We start from the raw sequence: 16,121 nt of genomic DNA, 5'->3' as shown, positions 1-16,121 counted from the left end.
AAATGTGCCTATTCTGGACATTTCATACAATTATTATCATACAAAATGTGATCTTTTATTAACTGTAGACTAGCCACATTTTAAAAGCTCAATAGCTTCATTTGGGTAGTGGAGACCATATTAGCATATAGCTGAAAGCCAACAGTGAAGGTGAAATGAAATAATATACTTGGTTAATCCAAAAGACTGCAGAAAAGGAAGAATGAAGAATTGTCTAGACAAATTGTTTTTTTTTTCTTTTTCTTCCAGAGTCTCACTCTGTTGCCCAAGCTGGAGTGCTGTGGCACAATCTTGGCTTCCTGCAACCTCTGCCTCCCAGGCTCAAGCAATCCTCTTGCCTTAGCCTCCCAAGTAGCTGGGACTACAGGCACATGCCACTGCACCCAGTTAATTTTTTTTCTTTTTACATCCAGCTAATTTTTGTGCTTTTTGTAGAGACAGGATTTCGCCAATGTTGCCCAGGCTGGTCTTGAACTTCTGGGCTCAAGGGATCCACCCACCTTGGCCTCCAAAAGTGCTAGGATTATAGGCATAAGCCACAGCCCCCAGCCTGTTTAGACAATTTTTTTTTTTTTCAGATGGAGTTTCGCTCTTGTTGCCCAGGCTGGAGTGCAATGGCGCGATCTTGGCTCACCACAACCTCTGCCTCCCAGGTTCGAGCAATTCTCCTGCCTCAGCCTCCCGAGTAGCTGGGATTACAGGCATGCACCACCACGCCCAGCTAATTTTGTATTTTTAGTAGACACGGGGTTTCTCAATGTTGAGGCTCATCTCAAACTCCTGACCTCAGGTGATCCGCCCACCTCAGCCTCCCAAAGTGCTGGGATTACAGGCGTGAGCCACTGCGCCCGGCCTAGACAAATTTTTAAAAATATTCAATTATGTGTTATTTAAAAGAAACAATTATTTTTTTGGGGGGGGGACAGGGTCTTGCTCTGTCACCAAGCTGGAGTGCAGTGGTATGATCTTGGCTCACTGCAACCTCTGCCTCCCATACTCAAGTGATCCTCCCACCTCAATCTCCCAAGTAGCTGGGACTACAGGTGTGCGCTACCACATCCAGCTAATTTTTTTAATTTTTTGTAGAGACAGGGTTTCACCACATTTCCCAGGCTGGTCTCAAACTCCTGGACTCAAGTGATCCGCCTGCCTCTGCCTCCCAAAGTGCTGGGATTACAGGTGTGAGCCACTGCCTCCAGCTAAGAAACACAATTTAAAAGTAAGAACAGGGTCGGGCGCGGTGGCTCACGCCTGTAATCCCAGCTCTTTAAGAGGCCAAGGTGGGTGGATTACTTGAGGTCAAGAGTTCAAAGCCAGCCTGGCCAACATGGCGAAATCCCGTCTCTACTAAAAATACAAAAAAAATAAGCCAGGCGTGGTGGTGTGCGTCTCCAATCCCAATTACTAGGGAGGCTGAGGTGGGAGAATTGCTTGAACCCAGGAGTTGGAGGTTGTAGTGAACCAAGATCGTGCCACCGTACTCCAGCCTGGGCAACAGGACAATTGTGCCACTACACTCCAGCTTGGGTAACAGAGTGAGACCTCACCTAAAAAAATAAAATAACCCATACAGTAAAATTGACCTGACCACAATTATCTCACTGCAGCCTGGAACTGTTGGCCTCAAGCAATCCTCTAACCTCAGCCTCCCAAAGTGCTGGGATTACAAGTATGAGCCACCATGCCCAGCAACTCAATGTTAATTTTAAAAACTTTTTTTTTTTAGAAGAATGAAAAAAAAGAAAAAGGAAAAAATAAGAAAAAAAGACATATACACAAAAACACTATCTTTTTAAAGGTTAAAAAAGTGCCTTGTTCATCATCGTAAGAAAAAAAAAAGGTGGCTATTTCTGGTGGAAAAGGGGATTCTTACTAGAAAGGGTCCATGAGAACTTTAGGAGGTAATGGAAATGCTCTATATTCTGATCTGCATAATGATGACACTGATTTTTACATATGTTATATGTACAAAATATATTCATTAAGTTATTCATGTAAGGGCATTTTAACTCCATTTAAATTTTACCTCAGAAAAGCACTTTTACTAGGCAAAAAACCTAGTGAACATTGAAGCCTAGTAAAAATTATTTTAAATTTAAGAAAACACATTTTTAAAGCAAAAAAAAGAGAAATAATCAGAAGTTTCCTAAAACTTAAAAATTTTAACATATTCCTTAGAAACCACATTTAAATTATAGCTCTTTTTTCTTTTTTTTTTTTTTTGAGATGTAGTTTCACTCTTGTTGCCCAGGCTGGAGTGCAATAGCACGATCTAGGCTCACCACAACCTCCATCTCCCAAATTCAAGCGATTCTCCTGCCACAGCCTCCCAAGTAGCTGGGATTACAGGCATGCGCCACCACGCCCAGCTAATTTTGTATTTTTAATAGAGATGGGGTTTTACCATGTTGGTCAGGCTGGTCTCAAACTCCCGACCTCAGGTGACCCACCCTACCTGGCCTCCCAAAGTGCTGGGATTACAGGCGTGAGCCACTACGCCCGGCCAGGTATTTATTTTTTTTGAGACAGAATCTTGCTCTGTCACCCAGGCTGGAATGCAGTGGTACAATCACAGCTCACTGCAGCCATGGCCTCGACCTCCTGGGCTCAAGCAATTGTCCCACCTCAGCCTCCTGAGTAGGTAGGACTACAGGCATGTGCCACCACACCTGGCTAATTTTTTGTATTTTTGTGTAGAGACAGGGTTTTGCCATGTTGCCCAAGCTAGTCTCGAACTCCAGAGCTCAAGCAATCTGCCCTCCTCAGCCTCCCAAAGTGCTGGGATTACAGGCATGAGCAACTGTGCCTGGCCTTATTGATTGATTGATTGACCAGGCTAGAGTACAGTGGCACAATTTCAGCTCACTGTAACCTCCACCTCCTGGGCTCAAGTGATCTTCCTGCCTCAGCCTCCCAAGTAGCTGGGAGTACAGGCGTGATACCACACCTGGCTAAATTATAGCTGTATTGGACCGGGCGCAGTGGCTCACGCCTGTAATCCCAGCACTTTGGGAGGCCGAGGCGGGCAGATCACAAGGTCAGGAAATCAAGACCATCCTGGCTAAAATGGTGAAACTCCGTCTCTACTAAAAATACAAAAAATTAGCCGGGCGTGGTGGCAGGCGCCTGTAGTCCCAGCTACTTCGGAGGCTGAGGCAGGAGAATGGCGTGAACCCGGGAAGCGGAGCTTGCAGTGAGCCAAGATCGCGCCACTGCACTCCAGCCTGGGCGACAGAGCAAGACTCCGTCTCAAAAAAAAAAAAAAATTATAGCTGTATTTAATAATAAACTACTTTTACATGATGGTGATATGTAATTTGTGGCTATCAAAATTTAAAACTTACCAGGGAAGGAGTACTGAACTTGATTTCTTCAAAGCAGCCATCAAACATTAAACTAAATGTTGGGTCTACACACACACACACACACAAAAAAAAAAAATTCTTAAACACTAAGACCAATAAATAACTTTTTCAAGTTATACTTTTCTATGAAAATATTCAGCACCCGCCTCCCCACCACTGCCTAGTGCTGTGGTGCAGTCATAGCTCACTGCAGCCTCAAACTCCTGGGCTCAAGTGATCCTCTGCCTCAGCTTCCCAAGCAGCTAGGATTATAAGCTCAAGCTGCCATGCCCAGATAATTTTTAAGTTTTTTTGTAGAGATGGGGGTCTCACTATAGTGCCCAGGCTGATCTCAAAACTCCCAGGTTCAAGTGCCCACCTTAGCCTCCCAAAGTGCTGGAATTAAAGGCATGAGCCACCACACCTGGCCAACTATGATCTTCTAATAAAACTACCAGCTGGGCACAGTGCCTCATGCCTATGATCCCAGCACTTTGGGAGGCCGAGGCAGGTGGATCACATGAGGTCAGGAGTTCGAGACCAGCCTGACCAATATGGTGAAACCCTGTCTCTACTAAAAATACAAAAATTAGCTGGGCGTGGTGGTGTGTGCCTGTAGTCCCAGCTACTCAGGAGGCTGAGACAGGAGAATCACTTGAACTCAGGAGGCAGAGGTTGCAGTGAGCCAAGATGGTACCATTGCACTCCAGCCTGGGCAACAGAGTGAGACTCTGTCTCCAAAAAAAAAAAAAAAAAAAAAAAAAAAAAACACCACCTAACTTCTGATTAATAAGATTTTTCTCAATATTTTAAGAGTACAATCACTACCAAATGGGCATTAATTTGTAAGTAGAGACTAGCCTCATGAATATTTATAATTGGAAAAATATTAGAAAATTATTATAGTATTTCCAATTTTTTGAAAAAGAAATTGAATGAGTTTTTAAAATGAAACATTCTGTGATAATTCTTTAGAAGATGGATCAATTCTATTAGGCTGATGATAGCTAAATATACAATAATTCATAAGAAAGTGTTATCAGGGGCAAAAGAGTGGCTAAGTTCAGGATTAAGGAACAGCAGAAAGGTTGGGTTCCATAAAAAATCCTGACCACTAAATCAGATTTAGTGATCTGATTATAGGTATGATAAGGACACCAGGAGAAGAATCTAGTATTTTCCCTACCAAAATACCATTACTAGATTTCTTATTTGCATTCTAGAGATTGTTCTCCAATTCCTAAATATCTAATACCCAACATAGTAACCCAAAGTAGTATCAATTTTAAAAAAGTAATTGCTATTTGTGAGTTAATTATAATTACTCCAGTCTGCAGATGAACTACAGATTTGAGTAACTGTTTAACTGAAGTAAAATCATTGTTACCTACCACTTGTAGTAAGGATTACAGGTCGTTTAGTTGTTGCCATGAATGTTTTGATTGCATTCAAAAACCCAGCATCTTCATCAAAAATTACATCAACCTACAGTTTATTAGAATATTAATATATTAATACACTTACTAATATCAGTTATGTATACATAGTAAATATTCTATGTCTGTTAGAGACAAAATTTATGAATTTATGAAGTGTGAATTCAGCTCATGTTGAAAGTTTATGTCATACACTATAATGAATTTTAAAATTATCAACTATCAAATGTTAAAAACAAACGCAGCCACCTATAACTAGACAGATATGGATCAGAATAATTTATACAATCATTTAACAATAATTAGCAGCCGTGAATTACATTAATCATCTTCCTGAAAAATTATTCTAGAGTGGACAGTTTAATTTGCTTTAATTTCAAATAGATACACGTATTCCTGACCTCCTTAGCTATTTTACAATTCTTTATAAGAAAACATACAGTATTCTTTAAAGTAAGTCTTTATCATGAGCTCTCACAAATGTATACTTCTATAAGCCTACCTCCTCAAAAAGAATAAGAGATGTTGCATTTTTTCTGCTGGGTTCTTCAGCTCCAACGTCTTTGACATTTGAATTAGTTGCATTTGTAGATTTAGTCTGAGTAATTTGTTTCTGTTCAAAAGAATTTTTTATTCCTGCATAAATACAATATTAATATTTTAGGTAAAATCAACTTTTGCTAAGACATTGGATATGTCCACAGAATAAGCTCAAACTGAAATCCATTATCAAAACTGAAACAGGACGGGCGCGGTGGCTCATGCCTGTAATCCCAGCACTTTGGGAGGCCGAGGCAAGTGGATCACCTGAGGTCAGGGTTTCGAGACCAACATGGCGAAATCCCAACTCTACTAAAAATACAAAAATTAGCTGGGTGTGGTGGCACACACCTGTAATCTCAGCTACACGGGAGGCTGAGGCAGGAGCATCACTTGAACCCAGGAGGCGGAGGTTGCAGTGAGCCAAGATTGCGCCACTGCATTCCAGCCTGGATGAAAGAGTGAGACTGTCTCAAACAAACAAAAACTGAAACAAGCTGGGCGTGGTGGCTCATATCTGTAATCCCAGCACTTTGGGATGCTAAGGTGGGTGGATCACTTGAGGTCAGGAGTTCAAAACCAGTCTGAACAATATGGCAAAACCCCGTCTCTACTAAAAATACAAAAATTAGCTGGGAGTGGTGGTGTGCACCAGTAATCCCAGCTACTCGGGAGGCTGAGGCAGAAGAATTGCTTGAACCCAGGAGGAAGAGGTTGCAGTGAGCCAAAATTGTGCCACTGCACTCCAGCTTGGCCTGGCAATAGAGCAAGACTCTGTCTCAAAAAAAAAAAAAAAAAAAAAAAAAAAAGGAAACAAAATATTAACACTTCTACATGTAGAACCTTCAGTGTAGCTGAGATTTAATAAATAGCAACAGGAACTCGTAAAATGTGCTCACATTTTTAGGTATAAGGGTCATTATTATTAAAAAATATAAAATTTGTCAATTTAATGTCTTACCTTTATTATTTTCCAGAAGCATTCCTATTTCTTCATTATTTTTAGGTTTGGGAGATACTTTAAAATAATTTGCCAAGGTTTTGGGAGGAAGTGCTCGCTTTGGTCCACTACTTTTTGGTGATGGTGGAGGAACTTTTCTTGGTGATGTAACAACTTTCTTAGGGGAGCTTATTTTTTCTGCCCAAAAACAAATTGCACTTAAAGATAAATATTCTAAAAATCATACAGGTAGCAAGACAGTTAGCCACATTCTGTATTTCTACTCTTAACAGTTAAAAATCAAAGACACAGAAATTTTCTTTCATTCTTAAAAATACTATGTACATCCAAATATTACTATATTTATTTATTCTACCAGTACAGAAGGTTAAGCCAGTCATTTATTTATTTTATTTTATTTTATTTTATTTTTTTGAGACAGGGTCTCGCTCCGTCGCCCAGGCTGGAGTGCAGTGGCATGATCTCGGCTCACTACAAGCTCCACCTCCTGGGTTCACGCCATTCTCCTGCCTCAGCCTCCCGAGTAGCTGGGACTACAGGCACTCGCCACCACGCCCAGCTAATTTTTTGTATATTTAGTAGAGACGGGGTTTCACCGTGTTAGCCAGGATGGTCTCGATCTCCTGACCTCGTGATCTACCCGCCTCGGCCTCCCAAAGTGCTCGGATTACAGGCATGAGCCACCGCACACGGCCAAGCCAGTCATTTAGAAAAGACACTCTACTCCAAAGAAACACACATTTTTTTTTTTTTTTGAGTCAGGGTCTCACTTTGTCACCCAGGCTGGAGTGAAGTGGTATGATCTCAGCTCACTGCAGTTTCCACCTCCCAGGCTCAAGTGATCCTCCTGCCCAGCCCCCCAAGTAGCTGGGACTACAGGAGCACACCACCACGCCTGGCTAATCGTTTGTATTTTTAGTAGAGATGGGTTTTGCCATGTTGTCCAGGCTGGTCTCAAACTCCTGAGCTCAAGCGATCCGCCTGCCTCAGCCTCCTAAAGTGCTAGGATTACAAGCGTGGGCCCCTGTACCCAGCCAGAAATACACATTCTTACAACAAATACTGTTCACAGTACCTCTGTTCATTTTTTTCTACACCTGCTTAAAGAAAGAAGAGGGTGGAGGGAAAATAACAGTATACACTGAGCACATTACAGAACTTTGTTGTTCAACTTTAATTTAGACCTGCAGTAAATTAATATTGCAAGCCAATAAAATGTATTTTTAGAGATGCTTTGGAAGATAGATACGAAGTTAAAAAATAAATAGTTCACCTCTATTCTCCAAAAGCCCCATGGCATTTTTCCACATAATACATCCTCTCTTCCCCTCTAGGTACCTGGATTTAGTCCTTACAAATCCTAATTACTGTATGGCCTCAGAACAGGATCTTCCTCACATACCATCTCATGATCACAGTTCCATATCTGTGTCCTATTCTTTTTTTCTACCCTCTATCTCCATAGATCTTATCATAGCCCTTGTATATTAGAGGTGTTCAATAAGCTTACTGAAAATCTCGAGGTTAAAAAAGCTGTCACAGACATGACCATCATTTCAAAAATATAGAACATTTCAACACCACAGGTAAGAGATGCAATATCTTAAAATATAAAAATATTTGGCAGGGCACAGTGGCTCACGCCTGTAATCTCAGCACTTTGGGGGGCCAAGGCAGGCAGATCACAAGGTCAGAAGTTTGAGACCAGCCTGGCCAACATGGTGAAACCGTGTCTCTACTAAAAATACAAAAATTAGCTGGGGATGGTGGCAGGTGCCTGTAATCCCAGCTACTCGGGAGGCTGAGGCAGGAGAATCACTTGAACCTGGGAGGTGGAGGTTGCAGTGAGCTGAGATCGCTCCACTGCACTGCTGCCTGGGCGACAGACCAAGACTCCATCTCAAATAAATAAATAAATAAATAAATAAATAAATAAATAAATAGTTGAACAGATATCAATTTATAAAAAACACCATTTTTTCCTCTTTTTTTTTTTTTTTTTGTTTCTTTTGAGATGGAGTCTCACTCTGTCACCAGGCTGGAGTGCAGTGACACAATCTCAGCTCACTGCAACCTCTGCCTTCCGGGTTCAAGTAATTCTCCTGCCTCAGCCTCCCGAGTAGCTGGGATTACAAGCACACGCCACCATGCCCAGCTAATTTTTGTATTTTTAGTAGAGACGGGATTTCAACATATTGGCCAGGATGGTCTCAATCTCCTGACCTCGTGATCCGCCCACCTCAGCCTCCCAAAGTGCTGGGATTACAGGCATGAGCCACCGTGCCTGGCCTTTGTCCTTATTTTTCTTATTTTGATATAGACCAAGGACTGCTTGATCATGTATGAATACCAGTCCAAAGACTGGTTTTATTTATTTATTTTTTCTGAGACGGAGTCTCACACTGTCGCCCAGGCTGGAGTGCAGTGGCACAATCTCAGCTCACTGTAACCTCCACCTCCCAAGTTCAAGCAATTCTCCTGCCTCAGTCTCCCAAGTAGCTGGGATTACAGGTGTGCACCACCACACCTGGCTAATTTTTCTATTTTTAGTAGAGATGGCATTTCACCATGTTGGCCAGGCTGGTCTTGAACTCCTGACCTTGTGATCCACCTGCCTCAGCCTCCCATAGTGCTGGGATTACAGGCATGACCCACTGTACCCGGCCCAAAGACTGGTTTTAAAAATACATGCTTAGCCAAGTGCAGTGGCACATACCTGCAATCCCAGCACTCTGGGAGGCTAAAGCAGGAGGATCATCTGAGCCCAGGAGTTCAAGTTTGCAATGAGCTATGATTGCATCACTGCAATCCAACCTTGGCAACAGAGGAAGACCCCGTCTTTTCAAAAAAAAAAAAAAAAAGGCAATTTTTATTTTAAGATACTCTGTGAGTAGCTGGCTAAACTATATCAATATATTCTTTCTAAAAAAATTGGCCAGGCACAGTGGCTCACGCCTGTAATCCCAGCACTTCAAGAATCCAAGGCAGATGGATCACCTGAGGTTAGGAGTTCGAGACCAGCCTAGCCAACATGGTGAAACCGTGTCTCTACTAAAAACACAAATATTAGCCAGGCATGGTGGCGCACACCTGTAGTCTCAGCTACTCAGGAGGCTGAGGCATGAGAATCACTTGAACCTGGGAGACGGAGGTTGCAGTGAGCCAAGATCACACCACTGCACTCCAGCCTCGTGACAGAGCAAGACTCCGTCTCAAAAAAAAAAAAAAAAGAAAAAGAAATTTCACACCAAAAGAACTACCTTCTTGCAGAAACAGCTAACTGTAGGTCTGGGACATCCTGACATGCCAGAAAGCAAGTAAAATATCAACTATTGCTGGGGTAATGTCAAAAGGACACAAACCAATTAAAATAGTTCCTTGCTAGTCAAAGATGGAAAAATATGAGCACCAAAAGAAAATAAGATGGGATTCTGCTTCTAGTCAAGGTATAGAACTGGCACTGGATTTATCCTCCCATCATAAATAAGAACAAGAAAACTGGACATAATATATGAAATAACACTTTTCAAGACTTTTGTCATGATGCAACAATGGACAGTAATCTCTGAGATATAAAAACAAATAAGGTGAACACTAGGATTGCCCAGCCTATTGCCCTGAGAAAATTTCCATAGTGAGGGGAAAGTCAATCCATGTTTTCTGAGTTGAGACTGCACTAGAAACCTGAGGAGGTTGGCTGGGTGCAGTAGCTCATGCCTGTAATCCCAGCACTCTGGGAGACCGAGGCGGGCAGATCACAAGGTCAGGAATTTGAGACCAGCCTGGCCAACATAGTGAAACCCTGTCTCTACTAAAAATACAAAAAAATTAGCTGTGCGTGATGGCGAGCGCCTGTAATCCCAGCTACTTAAGAGGCTGAGGCAGGAAGATCACTTGAACCTGGGAGGCAGAGCTTGCAGTGCACCAAGATCGCACCACTGCACTCTAGCCCAGGCAACAGTGTGAGACTCCGTCTCAAAAAAAGAAAAAAAAAAAGAAAAAAGAAAAAAAAAAAGAAAAAGAAACCTGAGGAGGCCAAGCAGACAGAGATGTGGGGAAGAATACAGAAGAAACAGCTGGGCAAAGCTCTGGAAATTTGCAGAGTCCCTCTCAAGTCTAAAATTGAGTACTCATCAGTGAAAGATCAGAGGAAACAATCTCTGAGGCTCACAGAGAGCTGTGAATGATTCGTCTTCCCATCAGGTAGACTGGCAAACATAACTAATGGAATATTGAAGCACTCAGAAAGGTTTTGCCTAAGGAGTGGGGCAAAATTAGCCCTAGACTAAATGCTGCTACTTTTTTGCCTACTACAGTTTAAAAGACCTGAAAAAGCTGGGCGTGGTGACGGCTCACACTTGTAATCCTAGCACTACGGGAGGCCAAGGCAGGAAGACTGCTGGAGGCCAGGAGTTTGAGACTAGCCTGACAACACAGCAAGACCCCCTCTACAAAAAAAAATTTCTTTTAATTAGCTGAGTGCGGTGGTCTGTAGTCCTAGCTACTCAAAAGGCTAAGGTTGGGGGATTGCCCAAGCCCACTTCGAGGTGGCAGGGAACCATAATCGTGCCACTCCACTCCAGCCTTGGCAACAGATTGAGACTGTCTCAAAAACAAACACATACACAAGACCTGAAGATAAACTTTTCCCAACTAACTTAACCACATCACAGAAGAAAGTTAACGAACAGTTATAGGTACAAAAAGTGCAGGATTGATAAATTTAGAAAAAAAAGAACAGTCAGGAATACATAAATATCCAGCACCCAAGAAGGCAAACTCTACAAAGTCTGACATGCAATCAGAATTATCAGGCATCCAAAGAATCAGAAAAATACAATCCATAATGAAAGAGGGAATAATCAATCAATTGAAAAAACAACTCAGAAATGACACAGATGGGCCAGGCGTGGTGGCTGATGCCTGTAATCTCAGCACTTTGGGAGGCCATGGGGGGTGGATCACCTGAGGTCAGGAGTTTGAGACCAGCCTGGCCAATATGGTCAAACCCTGTCTCTATTAAAAATACAAAAACATTAGCTGGGCGTGGTGGCGGTTGCCTATAATCCCAGCTACTCGGGAGGCTGAGGCAGGAGAATTGCTTGAACCTGGGAGGTGGAGGTTGCAGCGAGCCAAGATTGTGCCACTGCACTCCAGCCTGGGCGACAAGTGCGAGACTCCGTTTCAAAAAAACAAAAATTACACAGATGATAGAATTAATAACCAAGACCATTAAAACAGTTGTTATAACTGTATTCCATATGTTCAAAAACCTACAGGAAAGACTGGGCACATGGTAAGTAGAAACACAGAAGATATAAAAAGGACCCAAATCAAACTTCTAGAAATGAAAACTATACTTATAGCAGTGACAGCATACTAGATACTACAGAAAAGATGTGTAAACTTGAATAGTAATAACAACTAACCAAACTGAAACAAAAAGAGGAAAAAGACTGAAAAATTGAACAAAGCATCAGTGTGCCAGGAGACAATTTCAAGTGGTCTAAAATACCTATAATAATAACTGGAGTTGCCAAAGGAAAAGGGGAGGACAGAAAAAATATTTTAAGAAATACTGGTTGAAATTTTATCAACTTTGATCTTCCCAACTATAAACTCATATATGCAAGAAACTCAACAAATCCCAAGCACAAGAAACATGAAGAGAAGTACACCAAGGCACATCATAATCAAATTACTTAAAACCAGTGAGAAAATCTCCAAAGCAACAAAGAAATAATAAACACAAAGAGGTGAAACATATTATATATATAAAAATCCATGAGTTCATAATAATACTTAAAAAATTAAACTACACAAAAACTCACTGGTCAACTGTCAAGGTTGCTAGGACACCATCACTCTAAGTACTAATAAATAAAGGAATGAATGAAGCATTTCTGGTGCCTATAAACTGTATTCCAAAGCATCCAAAGAGTTGATGAGGAATAGTGCTTCCTTTTAAAATTCTAATAAATGCAAAAAAGAGAATTATAAAATTATCATTTTGTAATCTACAAGGGATAATCTGCTATGATGTCATAGGAAGTACACAGGCCACCTGTATATGTATGCCAGACCCAGAACAGAACCTGAATCTAATAAGGCCCATAGATCTAACTGCCAGTTTACAAGAAATATAGGGAAGAGGACTATACTAACTGACACCATGAGGATATAATCAGCAGACAAATCCAGAATGTGAAGAATTTCATGACAAATGACTCAGATTCTTCAACAAATTAATGACATGAAAAGAAAGGTGAGTGAATTGTTAGCGAGATTAAAAGAAAGTTAAGAGAACTGAATCAAATGTAAGATATGAACCTTGTTTGGATCCAGATTTGAACAAATCATTTGAAACAACAGAAAATTGACATTAGACTGTGTATGAGATTATATGAAGAAATATAGTTAATAGATCTTTTTTTTTGGAGATGGGATCTCACTCTGTCACCCAGGCTGGAGTGCAGTGGCCCAATCACAGCTCACTGCAGCCTCAACCTTCTAGGCTCAAGTGAACCTCCCACATCAACTTCCAGAGTAGCTGGGACTACAGGCATACACCACCACACCTAGCTACTTTTTTTTTTTATTATTTGTAGAGACAAGGTCTCGCTATGCTGCTTAGGCTGGTTGTTAACTCTGTTGGGTCTGATTACGATATTATAGTTATGCTTTTTTAAAAGTCCTTATCAGATAGAGATAAATATTGAAGAAGGTATGGGTGAAATGATATGATGGTCTTCAGATTTGTTTTAAAATAATCTGGCAGGGGTGGGCAGGAAACGTGTACGTGTAGAAGATAAAAAATAAATGGCAAAATGCTGATAATTAACATTACTTTCTTAGATTTTATTTTTTTCAAAACATTATGGCTTAAGGAAAATAGTTTACTTACTTGGTGACTTGCCTATGTAGTAGCTATTAAAAAAACAGGGTTTTTGTGAGTTTACACCTTGTTTGTCTACTTGATGGGACTGAGTAGCTTCCTTCAACTGAGATAGAATTTGTCTACCACTGCGCTGGGAAGAGGCATTCACTTCAAATATCTAAAAGAAGAATATAAGAAAAAACGAAGGGAGAATGGTTTATGTTTCCTTTTAATCCAAGGGTAATTATTACATTAACATTCTCTCATCATAGCTGTTACTAACCTTAAATCCAAGCTCCTGGGCACAAGCATACACTGCAGCAGTTTTTCCCACTCCTGTTGGCCCTGTTATAAGGACAGTATTGCAAAGACGACTCTCTTCTTCATCATCTGAACTGCCTTTAAAGTCTATGCCACCCGAGAAATCTGAAAAATTATTCAAATGCATATAAAATGACAATTGCTGAGGAAGCAATTCTACCTTATGAAACCCAGTGATCAAATCCCACAAACTTCTTGCAATAGATGCTGAAAAATTACTTTATACAGGCCGGACGCAGTGGCACATGCCTGTAATCCCAGCACTTTGGGAAGCTGAGGCGGGCAGATCACAAGGTCAGGAGTTCGAGACCAGCCTGGCCAAACCCCATCTCTACTAAAAATACAAAAATTAGCCAGGTGTGGTGACACATGCCTGTAGTCCCAGGTACTCGGTAGGCTGAGATGGGAGAATCACTTGAACCCAGGAGGTGGAGGTTGCAGTTAGCCGAGATCACACCATTGCACTCCAGCCTGGGTGACAGAGTGAAAAAAAAAAAAAAAAAGTAGAAAATCAAATATAAAATACCAATTAAGAAATTTTATAGGCCAGGTGCAGTGGCTCATGCCACTGCTTAATCCCAGCACTTTGGGAGGCCAAGGTGGGTGGATCACGAGGTCAGGAGTTCAAGACCAGCCTGGCCAAGATGGTGAAACCCCATCTCTACTAAAAATACAAAAATTAGTCGGGCGTGGCGGCAGGCGCCTGTAATCCCAGCTACTCAGGAGGCTGAGGCATGAGAATCACTTGACCCGGGAGGCGGAGGTAGCAGTGAGCCGAGATTGCGCCACTGCACTCCACTATGGGAAACAGAGCAAGACTCTGTCTCCAAAAAAAAAAAAAAATTAAAAAAAAAAGAAATTTTATAGAAAGTTTTAGTTAATGTAACTCTAAAAATGTTCAGTGAAATGGTAAAAAAAAAAAAAAAGACACACAAAATACCTTCATGTTTCTCATCTCTTTTTCCCTTCAGATTCTGCCTTTCTTCCAATTCAGCTCTTCTTTTCCAGTCTTTCAACCAACTGCCACAAGAAAACATAATAAAAATAATTCACAGAATATAGCTATGCCTTAGACTTTATGTTAAAATGATTATCGGGGGAAGTTATGGCATATTGTTAGTTTCTCTGCCACTGGCCATTCAACTGATGAAGGCTTTCTTGTTATTTTTACTAGTACAGCTTTATATGGCATATTGTTAGTTTCTAAACACTCCACAGTGCTTGTGAATCAACTAAAGAGTAAAATAGTTTTACATGGACATGAACATTTTTAAATGAAGTAGTTTCTGCCAAAATATACAAGACTATATGTGTAAGAATATTCACTGTAGCATTGTTCATATTAGCCTCTAACAGGAAAAACATAAAAATACACCATTGGGAAAAATACATTATAGTACACTCACTTAGAAACTGGTATACAGCAATTAAAAAGAACTGAGGTGGCAGGGCAGGCACAGTGGCTCAGGCCTGTAATCCCAGCACTTTGGAAGGCGGAGGCAGGTGAATTGCTTCAGCCCAGGAATTTGCAACCAGCCTGGGCAACACAGCGAAACCTGTCTCTACAAAAAACATTAGCCAGGCATGTTGGTGCACACCTGTAGTCCCAGCGACTTGGGAGGCTCAGGTGGGAGGATGGCTTGAGCCTGAGAGGCGAAGGTTGCAGTGAGCCAAGATTCAACCACTGCACTCCAGCCTGGGCAACAGAGCAAGACCCTGTTTCAAAATAAAAAAAAAGAACTGCGGTATGTTGTGTAATTCCATGAAAGATGCCTAATATACAATGTACAACAGAAAGATTAAGTTCTAGTCTAGAGCTAGAATGCCTGAGTTTAAATCCCAGTTCCATCACTTTCTAGCTGTGTGACTTTGGACAAATAACTCAGCCTCTCTAGGCCTTGGTTTCTTCATCTATGAGATGAGGACAACAGTATTTATGCTCATAGTATTTTTCTTTTTTTGAGACAGTCTTGCTTTGTCACTGGAGTGTAGGGGTGCGATCATAGCTCACTGCAGCCTCGAATCCTTGGACTCATGTGACCCTCCCACCTCAGGCTCCTGAGTGGCTCAGAATCCAAGTGGGCGCCATCATTCCCAGCTATTTTTTTTATTTTTTGTAGAGATGGGGTCTCCCTATTTCACCCAGGCTGCTCTCAAACTCCTGGCCACAAGCAGTCCTTCTGCCTCAGCTTACGAAAGCACTGGGATTACAGGCTTGAGCCACTGTACCCACTGCTCACAGTACCATTCTAAGGATAAAATGAATTAAGAACAGTACAAGTAAAAAAAAAAAAAAGAAAGAAGGAACAATACAAGTACTTAGAACAGTAGTACCAAGTTCACGCTATTAACTGTAATTATGGGTCCGTAAATCCTTATATGAAATCCTTTGGACCAGATTGTTTTAGAATTAATTTTTCAGATACTTAAAAGGTTATTTGGTACATATACTGCATATTACATAATACCCCTAATGGGGTCTAGGCAGTACACCCATAATCATTTAAGTTGGTTTGGTTTGTTTTTTTGCTTTGTTTTGGGACAGAGTCTTACTCTGTTGCCCAGGCTGGAGTGCACTGGCACGACCTCGGCTCGCTGCAATCCTCACCTCCCGGGTTCAGGCGATTCTCATGCCTCAGCCT

General features: G+C 41.3%; 1 protein-coding gene across 11 annotated transcripts in view; it reads right to left on the bottom strand.

The window, feature by feature from the left end:
* Positions 1-16,121, bottom strand: part of ATAD5 (ATPase family AAA domain containing 5) — a 63,904-nt gene that overhangs the window by 13,038 nt on the left and 34,745 nt on the right. For 4 of the 11 annotated variants that reach the window (XM_011525269.4, NM_024857.5, XM_047436782.1 and 1 more), the window contains 7 exons: positions 14,420-14,499; positions 13,442-13,584; positions 13,186-13,336; positions 6,282-6,458; positions 5,283-5,416; positions 4,736-4,829; positions 3,345-3,409 (listed from right to left, as the gene is read on the bottom strand). In XM_011525269.4, coding sequence (XP_011523571.1) covers positions 3,345-3,409; positions 4,736-4,829; positions 5,283-5,416; positions 6,282-6,458; positions 13,186-13,336; positions 13,442-13,584; positions 14,420-14,499 — 844 coding nt within the window. Of the gene's footprint in view, positions 1-3,344; positions 3,410-4,735; positions 4,830-5,282; positions 5,417-6,281; positions 6,459-13,185; positions 13,337-13,441; positions 13,585-14,419; positions 14,500-16,121 lie in introns of those variants that run through there. The other 7 variants (XM_011525270.4, XM_047436781.1, XM_047436783.1 and 4 more) reach the window with 4 other exon arrangements.

The sequence above is a fragment of the Homo sapiens genome, chromosome 17 (genome assembly GCF_000001405.40).
Source record: "Homo sapiens chromosome 17, GRCh38.p14 Primary Assembly".
Classification (NCBI taxonomy): domain Eukaryota; kingdom Metazoa; phylum Chordata; class Mammalia; order Primates; family Hominidae; genus Homo; species Homo sapiens.
This window is presented reverse-complemented; position numbering and strand designations above follow the sequence as displayed.